Here is a 25,219-nt window from a genome sequence, read left to right as displayed (position 1 = left end):
TCCTCCTGCTTCAGCTTCCTGAGTAACTAGGACTACAAGTACCACCATGGCTGACTAATTTCTTATTATTATTTTTTTATAAACAAGATCTTGCTGTGTTGCCCAGGCTGTTCTTGAACTCTTGGCCTCAATTGATTCTCCCAGGTCAGCCTCCAAAGTTTTGGGATTATATGTGTGAGCCATCACACCCAGCCTGGATTATCTTAATCCTTAGAAAGGCCACCTACAGGGGAGAGTCCATTCTCAACCCACAGATAAGAAAAGCATGGTTCAGAGAAGGATTGTAAGTCTAGGGTTGCCCAATAAATAAATAAAGCTAGATTTGTATTTATTTATTTATTTATTTATTTTTTGAGATGGCATCTCGCTCTCTTGCCCAGGCTGAAGTGCAATGGCACGATCTTGGCTCACTGAAACCTCCGCCTCTTGGGTTCAAGTGATTCTCCTGCCTCAGCCTCCTGAGTAGCTGGGACTACAGGCACCTGCCATCATGCCTGGCTAATATTTTGTATTTTTGTAGAGATGGGGTTTCACCATGTTGGCCAGGCTGGTCTTGAACTCCTGATCTCAGGTGATCCGCTTGCCTTGGCCTCCCAAAGTGCTGGGATTACAGGCGTAAGCCACCATACCTGGCCAAAGCTGGATTTTTATTTGCTAAATCTGGCATCCGTAGGTGTAACCCACTCAAAGTCATATGACTAGTTTGACACAGGGTTATAATTTGACCCCATATCTCTCCTGAGGTCAAAGAAATGGCAAAGGCCATTTTCTTAACCTCATGACAGACTTTGTGAGAAGTCACTGGTAGGAAGTGTGCAGGGAGAATCACAAGGAGGGTTGGATGAGACATGAGCCTCTTCAGTGACTCTGAAATGCTGCATAACCAACATGATTCCCCAGTGCCCCAAAGCAGCAGAAACTCTGGTACATTCCTGCCCCAACTGGCCCACTTATTGACTTCTGGGTTGGTTGGTTTCTGAGACTGGCAAAAATTCAAGGGTTGGTTTGTTTGTTTTTTTTTTTTTTTCTAGGCTGTATGGAGAACCTGAAAGCTTTGCTGAAGGATAGCAACAGTATGGTGCGCATAAAGACCACCGAGGTGCTCCACATCACGGCAAGCCATAGCGTGGGCAGGTGGGATGCTGTTCTGGAAACCAGTGTGACGCTTGCGAGCCGCACTTCTCCCCTGGGTGGATGCACTTGAGCTGCTTAGAGTGCTCTGGAGTGTTGTCTGCCGCATCAGTTTTTGCAGGGGCTTCTATTTAGCCAGAGCAGGACTCTTTGTGGGGTGGTTTTGGTTGCCTCTGTGTGGATCTTATGGGGCCCTCTGTTCCAGACTGATTTTTATTTATTTTATGTTAGTTCCAAGCTCTGAGCGCTCTCTCTCTCTCTCTTTCTTTTCTTTCTTTTTTGAGACAGTCTCTCACTCTGTCACCCAGGCTGGAGTACGGTGACACGATCTCAGCTCACTGCAGCCCCTGCCTCTTTGGGTTCAAGCAATTCTTGTGCCTCAGCCTCCTGAGTAGCTGGGACTACAGGCATGTGTCATCACGCTCAGCTAATTTTTGTATTTTTAGTAGAGACTGGTTTCACCACGTTGGCCAGCCTGGTTTCAAATTCCTGGCCTCAAGTGATCTGCCTGCCTCGGCCTCCTAAAATGCTGGGATTACAGGCATGAGCCACTGCACCTAGCTGAGCTTCCCACTTTCAAGGTGGGAAGAAAGTTCAGATCTTACTTCTGCAACAATTTTGCCACTTCTTAGCTTTTTACAGAGAGCCCAGTTCCCCAACCCAGATCCCCACAGGGGCTGTGGCTTTGGCTCCTGTCCCTGTGAGGGTGTTAAAATAACATCCTCAAAGTGAGTATCTGGTCTGGTGGCCTCACTTCCTGTTCATGATGGCTGAGTTCTTGGTTTCTGGCACCTGGAAGTGTCCTTTTCCTGTGTAAGCACAGCTTCACTTTTTACACTTAAAAAAAATTTTATAGAGTATTTTAGTTAGGTGTTGGGGCAACAGGGTGAGGGTGGTTGGAGGTGCTTTCCCACATCAGCTGGGTTCACCCTCTTGACTGGCGATCAGTAGTTTTACTTTGTATTAGAAACAAAACCCCAGTGTTACAGCTCTTTTAGAATTTTTCTAGCAGGTTTTCCAGTTTTCACTGGAACCTCTCCCCACCAGCCCCCGTCCCCACCCCCCAAAAAAACAGAACCCCACATCACAAACACCCCCAAGCCCTGGCCCAGGTCTTTCGGATAAAGGGGGCCACTGCCCAGTGTGCACAGGCCCAGAAGGAAGAAAAGACAAGAAAGGCAAGGTGCTGACTGCCTTGGGGGTTGTTTGGTGTAAACAGGCAGCCATTCAGAGAGGCTTCAAATCGGTTCAGGATTTGAAGGGAAAAAAAACAGCAGGAAAGGTGACTTGACTCCTGTGTGCCCCTAACCTTTACTTAGAGCCCATCAAGCTCTAAGTAGCTGCCCTGAACTGCCCAGGTTGAAACTCTTCTGCCTCTTCTACCCACAGAAGTAGTGACAGGAAGGGGGAATGAGGATAGCAGCCCTGGGCTTGGCATCTTGTCACCTTGAGGAGTTAATTTGCATGACACCCCACGGACAAGAGAGCTTCCTGGCAGCCTGTTCCCTGCCCTCTTGCTTGCCTCTGGTGAGGAGGCACACAGGCCAACATGGTGAAACCAGTCTCTACTAAAAATACAAAAATTAGCTGAGCATGATGACACATGCCTGTAGTCCCAGCTACTCAGGAGGCTGAGGCACAAGAATTGCTTGAACCCAGAGAGGCAGAGGCTGCAGGGCATCTCATAAAACCCAAAGTCACTCAGCCCTGCTAGTCCCCAAGCTCTCGCTGCCTTGGTGGCTGATCCTGTGTGCAGCCCCGGCCCTGTGTGAACCGTGCATGTGTGTGTGGAGGTGGTGCCATGGCTAGCACCCTAATTCACATGCTTTGTACCAAGAAGGGCAGGCTGGCACTGCAGACAGACCAGTGAAGTAGGGACACAAGCCCCAGCCTTTTGGGGGGCCCACTCTTTCCTGCTCTGTGATCTGGGCAACAATCCTAATCCCAGCCTCACTCTGCAGATCTTAGATGACCCAGGCAAGGTGCTTTAAAAGGTTAGGGGCACACAGGAGTCAAGTCACCTTTCTTGCTGGTTTTTCCTCCCTACTTTTCTGGACCTGATGTGGACATTAGGTAGTAATCCCCAGTTAGGGGGGACAGATGCTGAGAGGACAGGTCCCTGAAGCCTGAGCAATTATCAGGTTAGTGCAAAAGTAATTGCAGTTTTGCAATTAAAAGTAGTGGTAAAAACCGCAATTACTTTTGCATCAACCTACTTATAATGAATGGTAGTAAGGATTTGTTTAGCAGCACCTAGAGTGCCTAAGCCAGGGGTCCTGGCTGTGCCCACATTAGCAAGGCAGGAAGACATGGTGAAGTGACCATCCCTGACCAGGGACCTGATAATGGCCTGGCCCGTGCACTCCTTCAGCGTTCTCAGAAATGTGGCCAACTTCTAAATTTCCCTTGAGGTCAGTGGTGATCTTATAACCAATGTCAATAGCTTTCAGAGCCCATCAAGCTCTAAGTAGCTGCCCTGAACTGCCCAGGTTGAAACTCTTCTGCCTCTTCTACCCACAGAAGTAGTGACAGGAAGGGGGAATGAGGATAGCAGCCCTGGGCTTGGCATCTTGTCACCTTGAGGAGTTAATTTGCATGACATCCCACGGACAAGAGAGCTTCCTGGCAGCCTGTTCCCTGCCCTCTTGCTTGCCTCTGGTGAGGAGGCACACAGGCAAACACAACTGACTATCAAAGCATGAGAGACATGGAGTGGGTGACTAGACACGGACCAAGGAAGCCCCCGTGGTCAGGGAAGACCCCTGCAACTTGTGTGTCCAACGGTGACTTTCTTTTTCCAGACGATTCAAAACACACCATAAGTGAAAATAAATAAATAAATAAAATAAATAAAATTTATTTTTATTTATAATAAATGCCGCAGTGGCACAGCTGGTTGGGCACTTCCTGTGGGCACTTGGCTGAGGGGTTTGCACATGCATTCTCATTCATTCCTGAACCCAGCCCTCAGAGACGTGACCTCAGAAGGCCTCTTTCAGATGCATTCAGGCCCAGCAGTCAGTTGGTTAATCAAAAGAAATGATTACAAAGCAAGGAACTGAAGAAATGGTTTCCTTTAAATGGTTCATTTTAACCCAAAACACAAATGATAAGGCATTCATCAATCCCCATGTGGGACCCAGGCTTTTTGTCGGATATGAGACCACTGGTTGGTGTTTCCTATCATATTTTTTTTGCTTAAACCATACTCATAACATCGTCTGATTTGCAGCTTTGGTTTTTTTAAAGTAGAGCAAGAACTCAAAGACATTAATGAAATAACCTGTATGCAAAACCCTTCTAGAATCTTTTTATTTATTAATTTATATTTATTTATTTATTTACTTATTTGAGACAGAGTCTCGCTCTGTCACCCAGGCTGGAGCGCAGTTGTGCGTTCTTGGCTCACTGCAAGCTCCACCTCCCGGGTTCACACCATTCTCCTGCCTCAGCCTCCAAAGTAGCTGGGACTACAGGCGCCCGCCACCACACCCAGCTAATTTTTTTTTTTTTTTTTTTTTTTTTGTATTTTTAGTACAGGCGGGGTTTCACTGTGTTAGCCAGGATGGTCTCGATCTCCTGACCTAGTGATCCGCCCACCTTGGCCTTCCAAAGTGCTGGGATTACAGGCGTGAGCCACCGCGCCTGGCCTAGAATCTTTTTATTTTTTAAGAGACAAGGTCTAGCTCTGTCATCCATGCTGGAGTTTAGTGGCATGATCCTAGCTCACTGTAGCCTTAAACTCCTAGGCTCAAACGATCCTCCCACCTTAGCCTACTGAGTAGGTGGGAACACAGGCACACACCACCATGCCTGGCTAACTTTTAACATTTTAGTAGGGACTGGGTCTCACCATGTTGCCCAGGCTGGTCTTGAACTCCTGGCCCAAGTGATTCTACCACCTTAGTCTCCCAAAGCACTGGGATTAGGTGTGAGCTATCTAGAATCTTTTACAATCATCTCTTTTTTTTGTCTTTTTTGAGACAGTCTCATTCTGTCACCCAGGCTGGAGGGCAGTGGTGCAGTTGCAGGTCACTGCAACCTCTGCTTCCTGGGCTCAAGTGATCTTGTGCCTCAGCCTTCTGAGTAGCTGGGATTACAGGCATGTGCCACCAAGCTTGGTTGATTTTTTGTATTTTTAGTAGAGACGGGGTTTTGCCATGTTGGCCAGGCTGGTCTCGAACTCCTGACCTCAAGTCATCTATCCGCCTAGGTCTCCTAAGGTGCTGGGATTACAAGTGTGAGCCACTGCGCCCAGCCAATCATCTCCTTTTTTTTTTTTTTTTTTTTTTTTGGTTGGGAGTTGGGGCTCAATTTTGAGTCCTTCCAAAGCATTCAACTTTTTCTCATAAACAAATTTGAAAAAGAAAATCCTCTTCTCATCTAATTGGCTTGCCTAATATTTACTGAACTTATATAATGATAACAACAAGCATAACTGGTGTACATAGATGTGGAGGCAAGGGAGACCAGAAGAACAAGGGGCCAAGGTGGGCTGGGCCTGCTGAGCTCGCTCCCCTGGAGGTTCAGGTGAGATGGATCACGCACCTGTAGCCTTTGTCTGCTCCCACAAAGCCAGAGGAATGTGGTCTACCCCAGATAGCATGGATCAGACTCCAGCAGGGACCCTGACTCTTCTAATTTGAGCCTCTCAGGGCATGGTCTCACTTATGTCACTGTCCACCCTCCCTTCCCTAGATACGCCTTTCTAGAGCACGACATCGTCCTTGCCCTGTCCTTCCTGCTGAATGACCCCAGCCCAGTCTGCCGGGGGAACCTGTACAAGGCATACATGCAGCTGGTCCAGGTGCCTAGAGGTAGGCTTGCGTCCTGCACACAGATCTGTCGGGCACTCAAGTTGTCCGTCGGTCTCCTCTCCAGGTCACATATGTACCAGGGTGTAGATCGTCCACTTTTTATTAAATTACAACATACATATTAGAAAAGCACATATCCGCTGGGTGTGGTGGCTCACACCTGTAATCCCAGCACTTTGGGAGGCCGAGGCAGGCAGATCACGAAGTCAGGAGTTCGACACCAGCCTGGCCAATATGGTGAAACCCTGTCTCTACTAAAAATACAAAAATTAGCTGGGCATGGTGGTGGGCACCTGTAATCCCAGCTACTTGGGAGGCTGAGGCAGAAGAATCGCTTGAACCTGGGAGGCGGAGGTTGCAGTGAGCCAAGATTGCACCACTGCACTCTAGCCCGGGCGACAGTGCGAGACTCTGTCTTAAGACAAAAAAAAAGAAAGAAAAAAGAAAAGCGCATATCCTAAACGAACATTTGGTCAAGTTGTTTTCAGTGAACATGTGGTGTAACTGCCACCCCAATCAAGACATGTAGAGAGTATTTACCACCTCTCCAGAAACTTCCCACATGCCCATACTGGGTATTACCCTTACCAATGATAAATGGTATCTTCAATTTATAAGACCATAGATGATGCCCCTTTTAAAACTTTACATAAATGGAAACATCCAGCTTGTAATATCTTGCTTGTAGCTACTTTTGCTTAACGTTTTATTTCTGAGATTTACGTGTGGGATGTATTACTGATTTTTGCTTGTTTATGCTGGAGTATGGTATTTACACTATGTGAGTATACAACAGTTTACTTACCCATTCCGTTGCTGACGGACATCTGAATTGTTTCTAGCTTATGGCTACCAAGAATAGAGTGGCTATGAACACCCTTATAAATGTCTTTTGATGGACATGTATATGCATTTATTTTGAAACATACCTAAGAAGAGAATGGCTGGCCTGGGTAAGATTATGTTCAGCTTTTAGAAGGTACTACCCAATGGTTTTCTAAAATACTTGCATCTGCACATGCCATGTCCCAGCTACCCAAGAGGCTAAAGCAGGTGTATTGCTTGAGCCTAGGAGTTCTAGGCTGTAGTGCCCTACGCCAGTCGGGTGTCCGCACTGTTTGGCATCAATATGGCGACCTCCCGAGATGGGGGGACCACCAGATTGCCTAAGGAGGGGTGAACCAGCCCAGATCAGAAACAAAGCAGGTCAAAACTCCTGTGCCGATCAGTAATGGGACTGTACCTATGAATAACCACTGCACTCCAGCCTGAGCAACATAGCAAGATCCTGTCTCTAAAAAAAATGAATAAAATACTTGTACCAATTTATACTTCCACTAGCAGTATATGAGAGTTCCAGGTGATTTATATCCTCATTAATCATAGATTTTTTTCTGTCTTTTTATTTTAGCTATTTTGGTGGGTGTGTAGTAGTATCTCATTTTGGTTTTAATTTATATTTCCCTGATGATTAAAAGGGGATGTCCTGTAAATGTTTTCTTTTGTGAAATACCATAGCACACATTTAAGGGATAAAGAAGGCCCGTCCCAGAGGCAATGTTGCATACAGTTCCTGTCCCACTGGCCCTGCTGACTAGATGGGGAGTCCAGGGTAACAGCTACCCGATACCACGGCTCGAGAGTTAAGATTTATGGCAGATTGATACCTGCCTGGTCGCATGATGCAATGAGTATTTTTAGACGAGGGAATTATTTCAAGGGCCATGATAGGAGGCCTTGAAGCGGATACCTTAGCTCAAGGTGGACAAACAGATATTGTAGCCCAGGAGTCAGATGAACCTGGGTTCCCTCTGCCCTTCCCCTCACTCCCCGTGTGCCCTGGACAGGTTATTTCCCATGTCTAAAGTACCTGCCTCAGAGGCCAGAAATGAGGTTGAAGTGGAAACACTGGCCTGGTGTATAGCTCAGCGTCCTGCCCAAGGATGGAGTGCAAACATTCAAGGCCAGGCGTGAGCATTCCCTGGGTTAAGGCTCAGAGAGAAATGACTACGGGATCAGGTGCAGATAGGCAGGCCCAACAGAGCAGAGCCTGTGAGGGTCTAGGATTGTTGCTTGGCTCCTGAAGCACATCTTCTTCCAGCTGATCTGGCCTGGGAGTTGAGCACACTAGGCCTGTGGTTTTTTAAAAACACCACCGTGCCCCTGGTCCTCTCCCAGGCCACCAGGAGCAGTCTCTGGGGGTGGGGCCCTGCACACATATTTCTGAAAATGCACCTTGAATGACAGTCATGCATGCCCCAGGGTTGAGAGCCCCTGGGGTATTAGGGTGATCCATGGGGGACCAGTGCTGGGTTGAGCTAAATTAATGCCCTGTGCTCACCATGCAGGAACCTGAGGAATAAGCGAGGGTCTAGTCCCCTCATTCTTGGAGTGTGGAGACAGGGGACTTGCTGCTCTCAACCAGTCCTCTTACAATGATTGTGACCTATTTAAAGCATTCAGAGAAGTACAGAGATGGTGATAAGGAACATTGGATACCACCAGCCAGCTTTGCCAAATCTTTACATTCTATATCCATATTTTATACTTGCTTGAAATTTTTATTTGAAGAAATCATAGGTACAGTCCAAGCACCCTGTGAACCTCCCCCCACCCAGAGCACTCTTCCTCCTGCCTTTCCTTGAGCTACTAATAATCTGGTGACTATGTCCCCAAAATGCATATCTTTATATTTTACCACAGATATAATTACATATGGACGATATATAATCTTGTTTTGCATGTTTTAAAACTATGTAAGTGGATCTTGCTGTATGTATCCCTCTGTTACTTCCAAAACCTTAAAAAACCTAAATAACATTAGAGATTTATAGAAATTTTGAGATGAATCCATGTTGCGCCACTGGCTGTATTTCATTCATTTCCATCACTGCACACTGTTCCGGTGTTTGAATGTATCATGATACACTCACCCATCCCAGGCTGGCAGGCTTGTTGGTTGTTTGTACTCCTGTACTGCAAAAGGACTGTGCCATGGCTGTTCCTGCCCAGGGCTTCCTGGTACCCTGGAAGGAGAGTCCCCTAGAGCATCTGCCAGGGAGGGCATCGCTGGGCCAGGGAGAATGTGTTTGCCTTCAGCTTTGCTGGATATTGCAACTGCTTCCAGCCCAGCCTCTGGCCTCCAGAGAGCCCGGGGCATATCCCAGCCTGATGGATGTGCTATGGTGTTTCACTGTGATATGGCTTTACTGTCCCTGTCCTGGTGAGAGGAAACATCTTCCCTCTGCCTGACACCTCATCAGATTCCTCTCCTGCCCAGTGCCTCTGGAGAGAGTGTGTTCATTCTGTTGCCGAGTTGTTTTTCCATTTCTTATTGATTTGAAGGAGTGTGTAATTTATCCTGGATTCCAGCCCTTTGTCGGTTACCTACATTGCAAATATCATTTCAAACCAGGCTGTTTTCTTGGCTTCTCACTGTGCCTTTGTTGATTCACTGGTGCAGCAGTCTTTCTTTCCTTCTTTCCTTCTTTCTCTTTCTTTCTTTCTTTCTTTCTTTCTTTCTTTCTTTTTCTTTCCTTCTTTCTTTCTCTTTTCTTTTTCTTTTTTTTTTGAGACAGAGTCTCACTCTGTCGCCCAGGCTGGAGTGCACTGGTGCAGTCTCAGCTCACTGCAACCTCCACCTCCCGGGTTCATGCCATTCTCCTGCCTCAGCCTCCCGAGTAGCTGGGACTACAGGCACCCGCCACCATGCCCGGCTGATTTTTTGTATTTTTAGTAGAAACGGGGTTTCACCGTGTTAGCCAGGATGGTCTCGATCTCCTGACCTCATGATCCGCCTGCCTCGGCCTCCCAAAGTGCTGGGATTACAGGCGTGAGCCACCATGCCCGGCCTTCTTTTTCTTTTTCTTTCTTTCTTTCTTTCTTTCTTTCTTTCTTTCTTTCTTTCTTTCTTTCTTTCTTTCTTTCTTTCTTTCTTTCTTCCTTTCTTTCTTTCTTTCTTTCTTTTTCTTTCTCTTTCTTTCTCTCCCTTCCCTTTCTTTCTTTCCTTCTTTTCCTTCCTTTCTTTCTCTTTCTCTCTTTGTCTCTTTCTCTTTCTTCCTCTCTCTTTCTTTCTCCTTCTTTCCTTCCTTCCTTCCTTCTTTTCTGAGATGCAGTCTCACTCTGTCACCCAGGCTGTACTGTAGTGGCATGGTCTCAGCTCACTGCAAACTCCACCTCCCAGGTTCAAGTGATTCTCCTGACTCAGCCTCCCGAGTAGCTGGGACTACAGGCGTGTGCCACCATGCCCAGCTAATTTTTGTATTTGTAGTAGAGACGGGGTTTCACTATGTTGACCAGGCTGGTCTTGAACTCCTGACCTCACGATCCTCCTGCCTCGGCCTCCCAAAGTGCTGGGATTACAGGCGTGAGCCACCATGCCCAGCCTTAGCAGTTTTTCATTTGAATAATGAAGTCAATTTCATGATTTTTTTTCCCTCTGGCCTTTTTTTTTTTTGAGTGCCGTGTAAGATAATCTTTCTTTACCCTGACTCATGAAGATATTCTGCCATATTTTCTTCTAAAATGTACGAGTTTGCTTTTCCCCATCTCCTCCCCTTGTCTTTTTCTGCCATCCACCAACACTGGGCGCACCATTAGGAGTAGGGGGCTGTGGTACTGACAAGCTCACGAACAGAAGCCTCAGTGAGGGTCAGGGTGGGGAGCCTCGGCCCTTCATCGCGGGGTTTACTGAGTGCTGCTCATGATCTGTGAAGGGCCCAGAAGGGAGGCCTGGGACACCGGGTATGCAGGGGACAGTTGGACAATGAGCAGAGGGAGGAAGGGAAGGAGGCAATGTGGCAGACGCCCAGGAGATCTGTTCTGGGGGTACACTGAGTGTCGTGGCCTCTGGATTAGCGAGTGTGACTGTGCCCCAGGTGGTGTCCTTCATGGGCCTCTGGGTGGGGGGCCTGGGGGGTGGCGAGGGCATCTATTTCAGTGGCTCTGTTCTTACCAGCGTGTGACCTTGGGCAGTACCATCACCTGTGGGAACGTGGGTGTCACCTGTGTGGCTTAGCTGGGACAGTCTCTGAGCAGGGCTTAGCTGGCTCCCAGTGAATGCTGGTGGCCATTGGTATGGTTTCCTATCAGTGGCCACACTGGAAGGCCGTTTTCACCATGGCACCCTCTGCACCTGGCAGGGCGCCTGGCATGTGGCTAGCGCTCAACAAATATTGGCTGTTTAGTAGGTTTTATGTCATACTTTAAAGGATCAATTGCTGGTTGTCTTCTTGCTACAGTTCACTTACCTGCTTGCTCATTCCTTCATTCATTTGACAGTATGTGTTGGGCCCCTGTTTTGTTCTGGCCACCGTGCCTCAGTTTCTTCCCCTGTGTCATGGGTGTCTGGGAGAGTGGTTTCAGAATCCTTGCTCTGGCCAAGTCTGACTTGCATGATTTCCCAGAGTAACCAGGAGGGGGCACCCCAGGACTGAGGATTGTCCCAAGTGGGCCCTGGCCCTGCAGGGGCCCTGGGCCCAAGCTGCTGCGCTCACCCACACGCATTCCTCTAAGTTCCTTCCAGGCTGGCTACTCATGCGCCGTGGTGGTGCCGTGTCAGGAGAGGAGAAAATAGGATTGTAGAGACAGATGTCACACACAGGCTGCCAGCCCAGGCTCCCTGCCAGCTGGGCCCTGAGTGATGCACAGGGTCTGCTTCTGCTCCCCAGCCCGATGAGAGGGGGAGGCCTGGCAGGCCAGGAACCAAGAGGCCAGAGTGTCCCTATCGGTGACCATCATTCCTGCTAAGTCCAGGAATGGAGTAGAACCCCATGAGAAAACAGGTTTCATTTTTGTGGGAGAGAGAGTTCTGTGGCTGAAATTGACAATTCTTCTCTAACCAGATTTTGGGGTGCAGTTGAACAGCTCAGGGTCCCCCGGAAGTATCCCTCTACCATCCCACTGGTCCTGACTGGGCACACCTGTGAGTCTGTTCTGGCCCTGCCTCCAGTCTCCCTCTCCTTGTGCCAGGCTCTGAGACCCCAGCCCAGCTTTAGCAGCAGCATGATGGGGCCTGTTCTGACCCTGACTCCACACGTGTGCAGCCCGGGGGTGGAGATGGATGACCCTCCCAGCCCGGAGGAGAGCACCAGCCCGAGAGGAGGAGGGAGGCAGCAAGGATGCGCCTGGGCCCTGCCTCTGGAAATTGGCTCCGTGACCTTGGAAAGGAGAACTGGGCTTGGGAAGGGGAGGGTGCCGCGGGTGAAATGTCTGGATGCAGTTTGATCCAAGTCATTTGGGGGTTCAGGGGACATCCCTGGAGTCATAGCATCTAAGCTAGGGAGAAATCTGGGGGTCTACAGCTATACCACCCAGAATGCACCCAATGTCATCTGAACCCCAGGTACGTGGGCTGCTGGAGAAGCAAAGTAGGTGCTCCCACTGCAGTGAGCCGTATGTCTCATTCCAGGCTAGTGGCCTTGGGTGGGCCACCACTGCACCCTGTCCCTCTTCAGCAGCCACCCGTGGACACCCAGCTTCCTTCGATGGACCCAGAGCAGCCTCCTCCTCCTCCTCCCCTTGATGCCACAGGGTGAGGGGTGGAGGCCAGCTGCCCTAGAGGAGCAGGCCCTTTTCTGTCTTGCCTGCCCTCAGGGCAGGGTGCACCAGAACCCCAGGCACATCCTCAGCCTGACAGTCTTTGGTGGGTAGTTGTACCCCATTCCTGGACTTAGCAGGAATGATGGTCACTGATAGGGACACTCTGGCCTCTTGGTTCCCGGCCTGTCAGGCATCCCCATCTCGTCAGGCTCATCTGGGTGAGGTGAGCTCATCCAGGGTGAGGTCCAGCCTCAGTGTTGCCTCAAGTCCTCATGGTGCAGTGCAGCCCTTCCTGGCACTGTCCCCTGAGCCAGATGGACCATTTGTTCTGGAGGGCTGACGTTGGAAGTAGGGTGCCAGGGCCTGTTGCCACTGTGGGGATCTGGGGAATGTGGACAGAGTAAAGCCCCTCAGGTCCTGGCCTGGTGGGGTCACATTGTGTGATGCTGATAAGTCATCGCCTCTCCTGGTCTCTGCTTCCACTTCTGTAGAATGGAATCAAGCATCTTGGCCTCCCATGAGTGTGCCCCCCAGTGAGCAGTCACTGAGGAGAGCTGGGATTATCGTGACCACTGTTGTTGACCCATTGCACCACCAGGGTGACCACGTGGGCTATAGGTGAGGATGGCAATATCCCACAGGGAGCCACATGATGGTGGGTCCTGGGAAAGGAGGCTGGGGCTGCGTGAAGTAGGACAAGGCGGGATTAGTCACCTGCAGTGGGCAGGGCTGGCCCAGCCATCCCCAGGTCCTCCCCTTCAGGCACCCTGCCACCTACTCTAGCCTCCTCTCACCAGCAACCTTGGTGAGTCCTGGTGCTTACCTCCCGTTGGCTAAGACTCCTGGACCATCCCAGCTCAGCATGCGCCTTCTCCATGGGGCATTGTTTGGAGGAATGAGGTGGGTCAGAGGCGCTGGCCTTGAGCTGCTCAATGGAGTTTCCAACACCCCTTCCCACTCGACCCTGGAGCCCTGACAGATGGAATGCAGGGAAGGAGGAGACTTCCAAGAAGCTGCCCAGGTGACTTTGAGCTGTGAGGATGGGGAAGGACATGCTAGGCAAAGGGATCATTGGGGGCAAGAGCGGAACAAGGCAGGCTCAGGAGGAGAACCAGTGCAGGTGAACTGCAGGGGAGGACGGGGCCAGAGAGGTCGACAGCGCCTGAGGTTTCTCTGCAGCCTATGGGGGAACTGGAGACTCCTGGCTAGGTTCTGGGAACCGGGAGAAACCTCCCTCCAGGGAAGGCCTCCTCTGATCTTTGCACACATTAGGAAGGGAGGCTCAATCCCTTTCTCCCTTTAGCCATGTATTTTTAGATTAAAGATGCTCACGGCGAAATTACTGCTCTTTTCACAGTTGGCATTAAAAGCACAAAATAAGTCTCAACGATTTTAAGTCACACGTTATTTCTTCAGAAACAAAAGCCCCTCTGGGTTCTGGCTGTTTGGTGACGTAGGAAGGTGTGAAGGGAGTCCCTGCGTGGGCTTAGGAGTAGGGATGGGGCGGTGACAGCACCAGGGCTGCGTGCGTATCTGCGCGTGTGTGCATGTGCTTGTGTGCATGCATGCGTGTGTGTGCCTGCCGACCCCCCACTTTGCTTGAGGTCCTGCTTTGAGGAGGAGGCTGCAGGGTGGTTCTGTGCTGCTCCCTGTAGGCTTCCATCCTGTGCAGGTGCCAAGCCAGGCAAGGACTCCAGCAGGAGGAAAGATCAGCGTCTCTGCTCCTCCAGTGGGAGCAACAGCTCCCTGGCCTGGTGAATCCTGGCTTGACTGCTCCCTGACCTCAGGCACCTTTCCTCATCTGTAAAATGGGCACCTCTGGCAACCTGCTGAGGTGGGGTGTTACATAAAATCATTAGTAAGGAGCCCGGCTCCGTGCCTGGTTCGCAGCAGGCCCTCGGTGAATGCACTCCGTTGACTTCTGATCGGCACTTTTCCACTATATCCAGATACCTCTAACCACACAAGCCAGTCAGCGAGCACTGCATGCTCAGGGACCCCTCCTCTCCAAAACCCTACAAGGTTTGCCCTACACTACTGGGGGCACAGGAACCCTCCAGGCCCTCAGGGCACCTCTTCCACTCTGCAGGATGACTCTGACATTGGCTGAGGTGTCCACATGGTGGGAGGGGTCCAGGGTATGGCACAGCCTGGGTCAGTGTTGGGTGGGGTCTTGGGGGCAGCGGGAGGGGCAGGAGTCATCATCACCCCCAGACCTCCACACCAGGACTGCATGGACCTGGCAGGTTTCCCCTCTTTGCAGTTTCTTTCCTCTCGTGATGTTTATTTGTGATGTTCATTGCAAAATGACTCTACCTAAATGTGTGGAGGTATAGGGGTGGGGTTTGGAATATGGGACCTCAGAATGGAGGTGTCCCCGGCTGCCCTTCCAGATGGCACCAAGTCCAGCCACAGGTCAGCTACACACATAGCACACTGGGACAATGCTGGGCTCCATTCAGGGTATTTTATTTTCTTAAAGTAGACAACCTTTGACTTTCATCCAATCCCCAGCTTCTCTTTCCCCCGTACATCTCTTCACGTCCTTGGCTGTGATTCCGCACACTGACCTCGGACACACAGCTACTGCACGGAGAGAGGGAGGGAGATCTGGCAAGGGCTCCGGCAGTGCCTCTCCTCTCCATGGCGCAGTTCGTATTTACACACGGCCCTTGGCGAACGTCCTTTCAACGCAGTTGCCCATAGGCCCTGGGACAGGAAGGCCCAGATCAGGGTCCCAGCAGGGCCTCCCTCAGGCCACAACGCTGGCTGTGCCTTCACAGGAGTCAGAGCATTTCCAGCCAGTCTCAGGCGCGGGGCATGCTGGGACCAGGGGCACCACCCCTTGCTCCCCTTCCTTCACTCAGCAAAGCCACAAATAATTTACTCTTTAAATACCAAGACACTTAGCTATTGTTCATTTGCTCCCAGGTGAAAGAACCTTCTTTAAATATGTCGTGTTTATTTTCTTAAATAAAAACAAAGCAGAAAACCCCACCATTAACAAGAGGACACTGCAGAGGCTTATGTACAACACGTGTCCCGCGAGGCTGGCGCAGGACTGCCACTCACTCCAAAATTTCTTTGGAGCAGAGAGACAGATCGTCCAGATAACAACTTTTACACTCAGCAAGCCAGACACAAAAAAGACCACCTGAAAAAAAATATGTTTTGAAAATCTGCATTTAAAAAAGAATACTCAACTGCATTTGAAATTTTCTGGATTTTTTTCTGCGAAACACCACGAGATTTGGCCAAAAAAAAAAAAAAACCAAAAAACAAAACAAAAAAAAAATGTCAGAGAAGGAAAACCAGGTTTTGATTTATAAAACATCAGACTAGTAGAAGAAAAGCTGGAATCCCAGCTGGCCTAGTTTGAAATAAATCGTGCCACTCGTTTTGTTGTATTGGTTTTTGCTGCATATTTTGAAGCTGTTTTTTAAAAAGAGCTGTGAGTGGCTGGAGGTCTGGTTAGTGCTGTCACCCGGCTCCTAAGGTCCCAGGTCCAGAATGAAAGTGGTGCTGAGCAGCTGTGTGCAGGCCAGCAGGGAAGGTGCACAGACCCTGCACTGGTCCTCCCTCTTGGTCAGCGGCAAGGTCCCTAGGCCAGAGCTCGGGCAGCGAGCTGGCCCTCCTCCAGGCGACAGGGGTGCAGTTGGCCTACCTTGCCTCAGCCCTGCTGCCTATCCCTAACAATCCAATGCAGACCCCCAAGTGGAGTGGGGCCAACTCAGGAAGGCAAAGTGAAGGGGCAGGTTGGGCTTGTAGTGACCTTGTGACAGCTTCTCAAGTCTTCAAGAGACCTCGACATTTTAGAGGATTTTGCCATCTCCAGATGTGTGTGTGTGCATGTGTGTGTGTCTATCTACCTAGCAATCTATCCGTAAATATTTATGTTTGCAGAAATGTGGGGCCAAGGAGGCAGAGGCCAAGGGGTGGGGGACATTCTTTAGGCCCCCTGTTTTCTGCCCCTGGATTGGGCCTCTCTAGCACGCGTTGGGGCATGACACCCCGTGGGTTTCACCATAGGCAGGCGGGCCCCGGGCCCAGCTCCTCAGCAAAGGCCAATGTACTTGAGATTGTTCTGTATGATGACGTCTGTCACCGCGTCGAAGACAAACTGGATGTTACTGGTGTCGGTGGCGCAGGTGAAGTGGGAGTAGATCTCCTTGGTCTCCTTGTTGCGGTTCAGGTCTTCAAACTGCCGCTGGATGTAGACAGCGGCCTCCTCGTACGTGTTCTGGCCCTTGTACTCGGGAAAGCAGATGGTGAGCGGGATGCGGCGGATCTTCTCTGCCAGCAGGTCCTTCTTGTTCAGGAAGAGGATGAGTGAGGTGTTGATGAACCAGTTGTTGTTGCAGATGGAGTCAAAGAGGCGCAAGCTCTCTGCCATCCGACTCTGGGGAAAGGAAAGTACTGGCGTTAATCAGGCCCGCAGCAGGCAGAGACAGACCCTAGACCTGCAGCCCTGCCAGAGGAAGCCTTTGCTAGGGTCTCAGCCCAAGACTGGTCCCTGCAATGGCACCTCCTTCTGCTGGGGAAGCCCAGGTTAAATGTCTTCACCCACCTCCCACGGAAATAGCCGGCAGCACCCTCCTTGCCAGTGGCAAGTGCTTGGAAGATGTTCTCTTGCCCCTTTTGGGTCTCTCCTCTGGGTGCCAGTGATCTCAACATATAGCTTTGGGGCTACAGATGTGCCAAGCACAGCCTCCTAAACCGCTGGGCACCTCCAGCTCCGAGGACCCCCCATCTTCCCACTGCCCATCCACAGGCTGCCCCACACCTGTACAAGGAAGGCCATCTTCTGCAGGAGCCCCCGTCACATCATAGCTCCCTCAATGCAGGCGCTGGCAGCCTTGTGCCCTATCTGGGTTCTGGCCCAGTCCTTCAAAACTCTGATCCTTCCATGTGGTACCATCGGACACTAGGAAGTCTGTGAGGGAGCAGCCTTCACTTCTGTAACCAAAGTCTCCAGTTCTTGAGAGCTGGGAAGGAAACACCAGCCAGAGGCCAGGCTCCTCCCCTGCCCTCCAGCTGTGGGCACTCCCACCAGCTGCTGTGGGGCATCTGGCACCGCCTCTCTGCCGAGGCAGGACCCTGGCATCCTGGACAGAGCTCTCAGTACATGCAGAGGACAGGAGTGTGGTGGGCCAGGAAGAGGCAGTGACCACAACGGAGTGTGGCGCCTGTCCGCTCCTCAATTCTCTTCTGAGAATCTTCGATGTGTTATAGCCAGGGGTCTGGGCTTTTAAGAAGCATGATGCTCTTGTCTGACTCCCCAGTTCACCACTTCCCTGCAAAATGAATAAATTCTAACTTCTAAAAGGAGTAACTACCTGGAATTTGCTGCTGGCAAAAGCTACCCCTGCTTCTAAGATAAACTCAATGAGCAAAATATCAAAAATCTGGAACCAATCTGGCTTAGATCTGATGCTTTGGATTTAAGAACTTTTCTGGCCAGGCGCCGTGGCTCACACCTGTAATCCCAGCACTTTAGGAGGCTGAGGCAGGTGGATCACAAGGTCAGGAGTTCAAGACCAGCCTGGCCAACACAGTGAAACTTCATCTCTACTAAAAATAAAACAACAACAACAAAATTAGCTGGGCATGGTGGCAGACACCTGTAATCCCAGCTCCTTGGGAGGCTGGGGCAGGAGAATCACTTGAACCCGGGAGGTGGAGGTTGCAGTGAGCCGAGATCATGCCACTGCACTCCAGTCTGGGCGACGCAGCGAGACTCTGTCTCAAAAAAAAAAAAAAAAAAAGGAACTTTTCTGACTAGACTACATCACCAGTGACCGTGGTAATGCAAGTGGTAACTGCAGCTGGTAGTGATGACTCAGGCACGAAGCAACAGCATCACCAATGACTGCAGTGACAATGACGCTGGTAACCACAGCTGGACACGAGCTGCCAGTCTGTTCTCACATCTGCCCACTCCTGTTTTACAGATGAAGAAACTGAGGCACAGAGAGGCAGGATATGTGCTCCAAGCCCCACAACCAGGTGCTCTGGCTTGCTGCTCCTACAGGGTGGGCCCAAAGGAGGCTGCCTGAGGGCAGGGGTGCCCAGGAGGATGCTGCATAGAAACCCTGCTCTCCAGAGCCCCTGAGTTCTCTGAGGAACAGCTCTGGCAGCATCTGTGCAGAGAAAGGAAGGATACCCAGAGGTACCCGTCATTACCCTGGAACCCTGCACTCCACCTGGAAGACTGTTTTTCCAAACCAATCTTGCTCTTTCTTTAGAATGAGCTTCGGAATAACAGGAGTCCTGAGGAGTGAGCAGCCTCAGGTCTGGGGATGGGGGTGCTGGCCTTTCTGCAGAGACAAGCAACACACAAGATCTCATCCCCAGCAGAGCAGAGAGGAGCCAGCGCCTCCGCAGTGAACCTGGCTGCACATTCCCAAATGTGAGATAAGTGGTGGTCTAGGAATGTCACATTCTGCTGAGGGAGTAATTAGCTCTAATGGATTCCTGGAAGCCACATCATAGAGGACTGTGGTAACAGAGCTGTCATTTCTCATAGAAATGATGCTGTAATTGGGGGCTATGCTTCTGACCCCAAATTTTGCATCAGTTAAATAACAGATATGACCATTAGCACGTATTATTAATTTACTGAGCAAACACTTGCTGAGCGCGCCCTGAGTCCACATCAGCTCTCATGCCAGGTGATGGAGCTTGAGGTGGGAGTCCTGGGGCTGCAGGAATAGAGCCAGGCAGGGATGGCAGGGTCCTTTTGGGGTAGGGGGCTTCCTCCGGGGTTGGGAAGGGCGTGATCTGGCCACCAGCAGGGTATGGACCTGGGGGTTCAAGGGTGAGGGGACAAGCACAGAGTGGGTGCTAGGCCTGGGTCTGCCTCTCTGAGCCCTGATGGGTCACTTGGGGATGACAGTTGAGATGGTTTTAATACCCAGCTTAGCCCATCACCTCCTGGGCAGGCAGTGGAATTTAGGTAAGAGGAGGAGCAGGAGGGCCACCTCACTGATGCGGAAACAGTTCACGTGTACTGGTCATCTGAAGCCTCAGATCTAAACCAGACTGGTCCTCTGCAGGGCACCTGTGTGTAGGGAGAGCTCAGCTGGCAGCAGTGGGAGGGGCCGATAGACCACGTGGACCCCCTCTCTCCAAGGCCAAGGCAGCCACTCTTCTTGTCCAACGCCATGAAACACTCCTGACTGTGGCCCCCGTGAGTCCTGGGGTGAGTCAAGCTGTCCCAATGCACTAGGAGCCCCTTCCATGGTGTCTAAACTGCTTCCCTGCTGATGCCTCTCAGTGGACCTTGGGGACCCTGGACACCTCTTTGAGCCTCCTGTTCCTGACTTAGAGGTCATGGAAACTCAGGTACTTATCTCACAAGGCAGCTGGAGGTGGGCACGGTGCCTCACAGTACACTCTTATCAGGATTCCGCCACTGCGGCAGCCTCATCAGGACAGACAAACATCTCCCGAGTGTGGGCCCTTCCCTCAGCTCAGGCCCCTGCTTGTGCCCAGGACTCCCCTTGCTTTGCAGGCATTTCAGGCTCAGGCTTCCTGGTTTCCTCTATTCCTTGAGACAAACCATGGGAACCACACTGACTAATATTTAGTGGGCACCGAGGAGATGATGGGCCTCAAATAATAACAAAATCTCTGTGTAGACGCCTGGTTTCCTGGTCTTGTTTCTTGGCTGGGCCCTGTCTGGCAGGAGTCAGGAAAGCCTGCAGGAGGCACCAACCACATACCTCACTTCCGGGCTCAGACAGGAAGCTTCAGAGCGTGGGAAGCACCTGAGCTTGCCGCCTCACTCCATCCCAGCGTCCCTGACGCAGGCTGAGCCTTCACTGCACATGGGCTCCACCCTAGTAGGAGGTGAAGCTTAGGAGATGGTGGGTGCCCATCCTGTAATCTTTATAGAACAGGAAGGCTATAAAGAAGGTCAGAGGGCCCAGCATGGGACAGTGTGGTGCTGGCAGTGTGGTGCTGATGGACCAGCAAGTGAGGCAGGAGCTGCATCGTGGGTTTGTTCCTAGACCAGAGGCCTGCAGCTCTCAGAGATGGGGGACAAGACAGAGCGGGAGGCTGAAGAACCACAGACGGTTACAAAGTCAGGACCCTGACCAGCTGAAGTTGATGAGAGGAGGCCAAACCTAGAGAAGAGCCTCATATTTGGGTCTGAAAGATCAACTGCAGAGGAGGCAGTGGGGAAAGGTGTTGCCAGGCCAGAAGCCCAGTCTTGTCCTCTGACCTAGTGCCCAGCCTGGGCCCTGGTGCTTGCCTGGTGACCTCGGGAGCCTGTGTCACAGCGGTGCCTGCACTCTTGCAGCCTGGAGTGCAGACAGGTGGGCAAAGCGGCATCCTGACACTCAAATCACCACCACTGAAAACAGAGCCGTCTATTTGAAGCTGTAGCTCTGGAAACTGTGACTCAAGCATGCATATGGGAAGCAAGAAGCCCCAGCATGCCTTCTGCTGGCCTCCAGGGCCTGGCCTCATAGCCCTCTGACCTGTCCATGCTCTGCTCACCCTGCAAAACATGACTGGCTGTGCCTCCTGCACCCATCTGGCCTTTGTGGGCTCCCCTGGGTCCTCCTGCCCTTGGTGGATGTGGCTCTGTTCTCCTTCCTGGCCTGGCCTGGCCTGCATGGGGTTTTGCCCTCCCTGGCCTGGCAGGGTTAAACATTGTCCTGCTGCAGCCCACCTGTGGGCCACTGGGGTAGAGCTGGATGCAGCTTTGGAGTCATGTGGCCCTGCCCCATGGTAGTGCATCACCCCCTTGTCCTGCAGTGACTTCCTCCATCAGCCTGACAGACCCTGGATTCAGAGGAGCTGCCTCTGCCAACCATGACCCCATGGCAAGGGGGAGGGCTCCTCACTTCACATATGGGGCCCAAGGCCTCAAGAGGGGCTGACTCCCCAGGGTGCAGTTGAGAGCCTGGTATTTTCCAACTGCCACAGTGTCCTGTTCTGGCAAGAAGCCCTCCTTGCCTTCACCTCTATGGCTGCCAAGGCAGCCGCGGGGGGTGGGGCGGGGCGGGGAAGAGGGAGGCAGAAACACACCACCATTCACTGCTGTGATGCCAGCCCAGGGCTCCAGTGCCCATCCTGCTCTCTCCAGGGCCTGCTTACCAGCAAGATGGCGCCTTCTAGGAGGCTGGGGTTTGTCTGCACATTTATTTATATAAATAACACGGAGCAGACAGTTCCTGTGAGAAGCTTGTGCAATGGTGGGAATCTCACTGCTTGGCGTCGGGGAATGGTGAGGTGATTTGTAACCAGGCCTTCAGCCACCAGGCAGCTGGATGCAGTCCCTGGGGTGGTGTGGAAGTCATTTCCTGGCCATTTGTGAGAAGAGAGCTCCTGCTCAGACAGGTCCAAATAGACTTGCCATTGTGGAAGGGACTCTGCCCCAGGCCGTGGCTTTCTCACTACAGCAGGGGAGCTGACAGCCCATCCCTAAGGGGCTTCCAGCTTGCTGGCCTGCGGGTCTGGGGTATTTCCCCTGAACGTGGCTGCCAGACTGCTGGCCAGACCAGGTCCGGCACCTGGAAGGACATTCCCAGGTCAGCGGCCGGGGCAAGGTAGGGAGTGGAGAGGAGCCTGCGCCTGGTTAGTTGTGGGGGTGGTGAGGCCTCTCACTCCTGATTCTCCACCAAGGTTCTCCTGGTGACACAAAGGGGCAGATGTCCCTGGCCATGAACACAGGGTCTGGGGTTTACTCACTGCCGGTGCATGCTGCACCTTGGACAAGTCATTTCCTTTCTCTGGGCCTCAGTTTCCTCATCTGTACAATGCTGGGACTGTTGTGAGAAGGCACAAAGGTGCTGACACGGGAAGAACCCCAAGCTGCTGGGCCTTGCCCTGTGGCTACCACTGGCACCCCAGTGGGCCCTCTCCACGCCACACCCACTGTGATTCGCCTTGGCACTGGGACGTCCTCTCACCTGCGAGGTCTCATCGGAAGACCTGCTTCCCTCTGTCCCAGCATGAGGCAGCTGAGGGAAGGCTACCCAAATGCAGGGCCAGCTCAGCCGGACGGAGTGGGAGAGGTCTCGATGCTGCAGATGGGGATTCAGCCAGCAACACTTCTTTGCTGGCCACAGGGCCCAGGTCAGCCTGGCTCTTTGGGAGGCTCCTGTGGCCCCTTAGCCTGGAGATGCAATGGCCGATGTGATGAATGGTGGATGTGTTTCCATCCCGCCTGCAGCCACCTGGACCTTACTTAAAACATACCGTGTCGGCACCTCTGGCTCAGCCCCTCTCATTCCCCATCAGGCCAGTCTCCTTACAGCCGGTCCCTCTGTTTGTGGGGCACAGAACAGCCCCAAGTACCAGGCTCTTCCAGTTACCAACGTTCCTGGTAACAGGTCTGGCCCTCAGTGCTGGGTCATGGGAGGGCTGCCTTTGGTTTCCTGCATCCCAGCTGGATGGGACCTGACATGGACACTGGAGTCTAGCTCCTGTACTTTGGAGCTGAGGCGCACAGATCCCCCAGCAGGTGCGCGCATATTCCAGCATCAGCCTCCTGCTGGTCTGAGAGCTCATGGGCCTGCGGTGGGAGAGGGAACAGAGGCATCCTCCAGGCTTCCTCATCTCAGCCAGGGGCCTGTCCCCCTCCCAGGTGCGGCATATTTGCATTTTAAGAGGCCTCTGGACTGGGGGCCTGTTTTTGGAGTTAGCATCCCTTTGTCACAGCCTAAACACCTCCCCACACCCCACTCCTTCCCCATCAGGCACTCACGGCTTTCCAGCTAATGACATCCAAGGCAGCTGTGTGGGACAAGCGCCTGGGCTGGGGGTGGGGAGGTGAGAGGCTCATCCAGGGCCTCACACGTTCTGACCTCCAGTCCATTACACCCTGCCTTGACAGACATCCACAGTGCTGAGTATCACAGCCCATCCTGCACTGTAGTTGCAGCTCCCTGAGGAGCCCAGAGTGGGGCATCCTTCCTGTCCCTGCCTCACAGGCCACCACAGGTGTCCTGCTAAGACCATGGTCCTGCATGAGGTAGCTCAGTGACTACCCAGGGACCAGGGACTGGGCCGGGTGGGAGGGACACTGGCCTGCTCTGAAGCGCTCTCCCTCCTGCACTGCAAATGTCCTCAGGTGCCCTGTCACAGGCGCGTAGCCACGTCATCCCCTCACTGCACTTCTGGGCCCCTCAGGCGGACAGGCCAGCCCTTCATGACCCAGGTGTCTTTTTCCCTCTGCACCCGCAGCTCCACCTCCAAGTTACTCCTCGTTCCCACAACTCACTGTGCCTCGAGTAGGCCAGTGGCCCCCAGAAGGCCCCTCAGCCCCTCACCTGGCAGCCTGTTGCCCTGTGCCCCTCAGTGAGGAGACGGAGGTCATGGCAGCTTCACGAAGCAAGGCTTACCCAGGCAAACGCACACACAGACGTGGTCCTGGGCACGTGGTGAGCACATGACAGAGGCTGGCACCTGTTTGACTGTTTTGTTGTTTGCTGTGGGACCCCAGCGGCCTCAGGGCCCATCTGGCACATGCGCGGCACCTTCCTGGTGTGCTTGGCCTGGCCCAGGCCCTCAGCCAACCGCACTGCCTTGTCATCTTCACACAGGGCCCAGGGGGTAGGGGGATCAGGGTGGTGATTATGACCACCACCCTCCCCTTGCACAGATGAAGGAATGAGTAACTCTGCTAGGAAAACTTGAACAGAATTTCCTGAAGTGAGCAATCATGTACTGTGCTTCAAATAAACTGAGGTTTAGAAAATAAACTGAAAAAGACCCAGTCAAAATGGCTCAAACATGAGCCCCGGCCCCCAACTTCAGGTGGGGCCCCTCCATTTGCAGGGGTGGCCAGCAGTGCTCAGGGCCTCATGCCTGCTTCACGCATCTTCTGCCTTAGGGGTCACCGAGGCATCACTGAGGTGTGGGAGGCCACCCTGCAGGGTCACCCCACCTTCCTGTTCTAGGAAGGGGTATGTTCTGGGCCTCCTCCTCGCTCCCCTCTGGGCAACCCGAGACCCCCTCCAGGAGGCCAGACGCACTCCCAGATTCCCATGTCAGCTCCCAGCAGGTAGGCAGTCCTCAGGGACACTGGTCTTGTCCAACCCCTTCCCAAACCCTGACCCTTGCACACACCCCAGAGATGGTGGGACCGTCACCTCCCTACTCTGGATCCATGCAGCCCCAAATCACACTGGTTTGGGGGCAACCACATGCAAACACCTACTCAGGCTGAACGTACACCATCAGCTCAGAGCCTTGTCACATACCTCAGCCAGGTGAGGGGCCCCCGGACTGTGTTGTATTGGGGAATAGGTGGGTGATGCCAGTGTGATATGGCCACATGGCTGGGGAAGGCTCTGTACTGACCCATCTGGTCTCCCTGTCCACTCACTCTCCACTAGGTCCCTTACTCCACAGGACCCCATGCAGTTTGCTGTGGCCACAGCACAGAGCAAGGCCAGCTGGCCCAACTAGGGGCCTCAAACCTCACATAAAATGCACGTGACATTAAGGTTTCAGCTCTTCCTGGAACCAGCATCATCCCTGGGACACAGATGACCTGGAACCCCCAGCCCTGCCAGCTTCTGAGATGCCTTCATGGCAGTCCCCACTGCCCTCTCCCTTTCCTCACCTCCCTGGGCAGAGGCTCTCCAGGTGCTCTTGTGTGAGGGATGGAGGCAAGCAGACAGCCTTGCTCTCAACAAGGTGGGTGAGGACAGGCAGGAGGGAATGCTGGAGCCGGTGTGGCAGCTGCGGAGTGGCCAATGCAGGCCCAACCT

At 52.3% G+C, this 25,219-nt stretch overlaps 2 protein-coding genes, 1 non-coding gene and 1 pseudogene across 10 annotated transcripts in view, besides 9 other annotated features; 3 read left to right on the top strand and 1 right to left on the bottom strand.

Moving 5' to 3' along the window:
* The window catches only part of RSPH14 (radial spoke head 14 homolog), a 121,315-nt gene that overhangs the window by 40,756 nt on the left and 55,340 nt on the right, over positions 1–25,219 (top strand). For all 7 annotated transcript variants that reach the window (XM_017028774.2, NM_014433.3, XM_011530150.2 and 4 more), the window contains 2 exons: positions 1,032–1,134; positions 5,830–5,948. In XM_017028774.2, the coding sequence (XP_016884263.1) occupies positions 1,032–1,134; positions 5,830–5,948 (222 nt within the window). The remainder of the gene's footprint in view (positions 1–1,031; positions 1,135–5,829; positions 5,949–25,219) is intronic.
* Positions 1,045–1,134: an enhancer, noted in NCBI's record as "active region_18747". NCBI's record gives its function as "activates an Ori minimal core promoter by ATAC-STARR-seq in GM12878 lymphoblastoid cells {active_cell/tissue: GM12878}" and the evidence as "EXISTENCE:reporter gene assay evidence [ECO:0000049][PMID:35858748]".
* Positions 1,685–1,824: an enhancer, noted in NCBI's record as "active region_18746". NCBI's record gives its function as "activates an Ori minimal core promoter by ATAC-STARR-seq in GM12878 lymphoblastoid cells {active_cell/tissue: GM12878}" and the evidence as "EXISTENCE:reporter gene assay evidence [ECO:0000049][PMID:35858748]".
* Positions 2,110–2,169, top strand: LOC124905170 (U7 small nuclear RNA). Its single transcript, XR_007068169.1, has one exon. It is a non-coding gene; the product is annotated as a U7 small nuclear RNA (small nuclear RNA).
* RN7SL6P (RNA, 7SL, cytoplasmic 6, pseudogene) lies at positions 6,826–7,370 on the top strand (annotated as a pseudogene).
* Positions 11,255–11,534: an enhancer, noted in NCBI's record as "active region_18745". NCBI's record gives its function as "activates an Ori minimal core promoter by ATAC-STARR-seq in GM12878 lymphoblastoid cells {active_cell/tissue: GM12878}" and the evidence as "EXISTENCE:reporter gene assay evidence [ECO:0000049][PMID:35858748]".
* Positions 11,255–11,978: a biological region, named in NCBI's record as "H3K4me1 hESC enhancer GRCh37_chr22:23470183-23470770".
* Positions 11,391–11,978: an enhancer, noted in NCBI's record as "H3K4me1 hESC enhancer chr22:23470183-23470770 (GRCh37/hg19 assembly coordinates)". NCBI's record gives its function as "activates a minimal SCP1, AML or CMV promoter by ChIP-STARR-seq in naive H9 embryonic stem cells {active_cell/tissue: H9 hESC(naive)}" and the evidence as "EXISTENCE:reporter gene assay evidence [ECO:0000049][PMID:30033119]".
* Positions 11,979–12,568: an enhancer, noted in NCBI's record as "H3K4me1 hESC enhancer chr22:23469593-23470182 (GRCh37/hg19 assembly coordinates)". NCBI's record gives its function as "activates a minimal SCP1, AML or CMV promoter by ChIP-STARR-seq in naive H9 embryonic stem cells {active_cell/tissue: H9 hESC(naive)}" and the evidence as "EXISTENCE:reporter gene assay evidence [ECO:0000049][PMID:30033119]".
* Positions 12,933–13,810: an enhancer, noted in NCBI's record as "H3K4me1 hESC enhancer chr22:23468351-23469228 (GRCh37/hg19 assembly coordinates)". NCBI's record gives its function as "activates a minimal SCP1, AML or CMV promoter by ChIP-STARR-seq in naive H9 embryonic stem cells {active_cell/tissue: H9 hESC(naive)}" and the evidence as "EXISTENCE:reporter gene assay evidence [ECO:0000049][PMID:30033119]".
* Positions 14,942–25,219, bottom strand: part of GNAZ (G protein subunit alpha z) — a 54,514-nt gene continuing 44,236 nt past the window's right edge. The window contains exon 3 of one of the 2 annotated variants that reach the window (NM_002073.4): positions 14,942–16,887. In NM_002073.4, the coding sequence (NP_002064.1) occupies positions 16,543–16,887 (345 nt within the window). In that variant the 3' untranslated portion in view covers positions 14,942–16,542. Of the gene's footprint in view, positions 16,888–17,271; positions 17,783–25,219 lie in introns of those variants that run through there. The other variant, XM_047441346.1, reaches the window with a different exon arrangement.
* Positions 17,461–17,962: an enhancer, noted in NCBI's record as "H3K4me1 hESC enhancer chr22:23464199-23464700 (GRCh37/hg19 assembly coordinates)". NCBI's record gives its function as "activates a minimal SCP1, AML or CMV promoter by ChIP-STARR-seq in naive H9 embryonic stem cells {active_cell/tissue: H9 hESC(naive)}" and the evidence as "EXISTENCE:reporter gene assay evidence [ECO:0000049][PMID:30033119]".
* Positions 22,531–23,448: an enhancer, noted in NCBI's record as "H3K4me1 hESC enhancer chr22:23458713-23459630 (GRCh37/hg19 assembly coordinates)". NCBI's record gives its function as "activates a minimal SCP1, AML or CMV promoter by ChIP-STARR-seq in naive H9 embryonic stem cells {active_cell/tissue: H9 hESC(naive)}" and the evidence as "EXISTENCE:reporter gene assay evidence [ECO:0000049][PMID:30033119]".

The sequence above is a fragment of the Homo sapiens genome, chromosome 22 (assembly GCF_000001405.40).
Source record: "Homo sapiens chromosome 22, GRCh38.p14 Primary Assembly".
NCBI classification, from domain to species: domain Eukaryota; kingdom Metazoa; phylum Chordata; class Mammalia; order Primates; family Hominidae; genus Homo; species Homo sapiens.
This window is presented reverse-complemented; position numbering and strand designations above follow the sequence as displayed.